We start from the raw sequence: 1,992 nt of genomic DNA, 5'->3' as shown, positions 1-1,992 counted from the left end.
TGACTGACGCCTATAATCCCAGCATTTTGGGAGGCCGTGAGGCGAGTGGATCACCTGAGGTCAGGAGTTCAAGGCCAGCCTGGTCAACATGGCAAAACCCCGTCTCTACTAAAAATACAAAAATTAGCCATGTGTGATGGCAGGCGCCTGTAATCCCAGCTACTCAGGAGGCTGAGGCAGGAGAATCGCTTGAACCCAGGAGGCGGAGGTTGCAGTGAGCTGAGATGGCGCCACTGCACTCCAGCCTGGGTGACAGAGCAAGACTCAAGAAAGCTACTTTTGATACCTTGAGGCAACCCAGATGAGACTCCACTTGAAATTTATAAGCATGAACTTGAGTGCCTTTGTCCACAGCTCCTGCGTGTTCAGATGGGTTCTGATGGAATAGCATTCCCCTCGGCCGCCAACGTCCTCCATCAGGCCTGTCTCCACCTGGATCCCGTAGGGCAGAGAGAGGCCCAGCTCACCCTTCTCAGCCTCTTCCTTGAACTGCTGCATGCAGTCCAGGAAGGCCACCATCGCGCGGTCATACTTGTTATTGAGGAAAACATCCTGCCCCCCATAACAGAACAACGGCAGCTCAGTGCGGTCATCTGTTAAAGACTTCAGATACGAATGGTTTCCGCAGGGGATGAGTCGATACCTCTGAAACTGCAGTCCAATTGTATTGGCCAGGGTAAGGAGCAGCAAGGCCGCCTGTCCCCAGGCAGTGTTAATCTCATTCCAGCCCACACGGACAGTGGGGAGGCGGCCCAACCTGAAGTTATTGATGACGCCCAAGGGGCCCTCCACCCAGATCTCAAACGTGGCGGTGAAACAGTTGATTTCCTTCAGCCGGTCCCTCTGGACCCTGGCATACTGCAGCTGGTTCTCCACGTTCCCCAGCTGATCAAGCAGTTCCAGCTGCTGCCGCTTCAAGGCACTGTAGTCCCTGTAGTGCTGCCTCTCCTGCTGGTCCAGCTCCGCAGCCTCTGCCTGGGCTGCCTGGAGATCCGCCGCTGCTCTTGCATTGTTCCTGTCCACATCCTCCAGCTCCTGCACCAGCCTGGCCTCCTCCAGCTCCAGGTCCCGCAGCTCCGCCCGCAGCGCCGCCGCCTCGTCCTCGCTGGTCGCCAGCTCCCCGGTCTCCAGGCAGCGTTGGTAGTTCTGACTGTCAGCTTCTGTGAGAGCGAGCTGGATGTCCAGCTGCTCTAAAAGACTGTCGGTGCATTCTTCACACAGGGGATGGTCCACAACTGCTTGGCCAGAGACTATGTCAAAAATGTCACCAGCTGCCTTCTGGATGCTACTGAGCATGTGCATGGCGCCAAGCTCCCCCAGCAGGGTGAAGATGTTGGCATGGCCCTTGGACACACTGCCATCGCCTGGAGGGGATCTGCTAGAGGCACCGTCCTGTTGCTCCTCAGCGTCTGTCACCTCCCTGGTGGTGACGCCGGGCTCCCGGGTGTCTCCGGGCTCAGCCTGCCCAGAGGTGGGCGCCGGGGCTGCAGGGAGGCTCCTAGACTCCGAGGAGCCGCTCAGCTTCAGGGCCTGGTGGCAGCGCTGGCACAGGAAGCGGATGGAAGACATGGCTAAGGGCCTGACTGCCGCCTTGAGTCTAAGTTTCCTCTGGCTCCCAGTTACTTATCATTTTATACCTTTTCAGGTCTTTCTAGAAGAGTGATCCTTTTAAAATGCACATGTCATCTTATCACTGTCCTACTGAAAACCCTACAATGGTACCCTCCTTCGGTACCTGTAGACCTCCTTCAGCTCCTTACAGACCAGGGATTATTTCCAAAAGGAAAATCTGATCATCTCCTTTTCCTCCTGTACCATGTCCAAGGCACGCCTTAAGCGTAATCTTGCTAAAACTAAAATCTCATCATGGCACTGCCCTCCTTAAAATGTTTAACACCCTTATCTAACCTTAAGATCGAGTCCAATCAGCTTTGGCAGAGGGCGTTGGCTCACGCCTGTAATCCCGGTACATTGGGAGGCCGAGGCGGAAGG

The 1,992-nt window shown here is 55.8% G+C and overlaps 1 protein-coding gene across 1 annotated transcript; it reads right to left on the bottom strand.

Moving 5' to 3' along the window:
* Positions 1 to 273: 273 nt before the first annotated feature.
* BECN2 (beclin 2) lies at positions 274 to 1,569 on the bottom strand. The gene has a single exon (NM_001290693.1). The coding sequence runs from the start codon at positions 1,567 to 1,569 to the stop codon at positions 274 to 276; it is 1,296 nt and encodes a 431-aa protein (NP_001277622.1).
* Between the last annotated feature and the right edge of the window lie 423 nt (positions 1,570 to 1,992).

Source organism: Homo sapiens, chromosome 1 (genome assembly GCF_000001405.40).
Source record: "Homo sapiens chromosome 1, GRCh38.p14 Primary Assembly".
Lineage (NCBI taxonomy): Eukaryota > Metazoa > Chordata > Mammalia > Primates > Hominidae > Homo > Homo sapiens.
This window is presented reverse-complemented; position numbering and strand designations above follow the sequence as displayed.

What these genes read in the sequence shown, in the direction of transcription:
- BECN2 (NM_001290693.1), bottom strand. Translation starts at nt 1,569, where the DNA reads ATGTCTTCCATCCGCTTCCTGTGCCAGCGCTGCCACCAGGCCCTGAAG.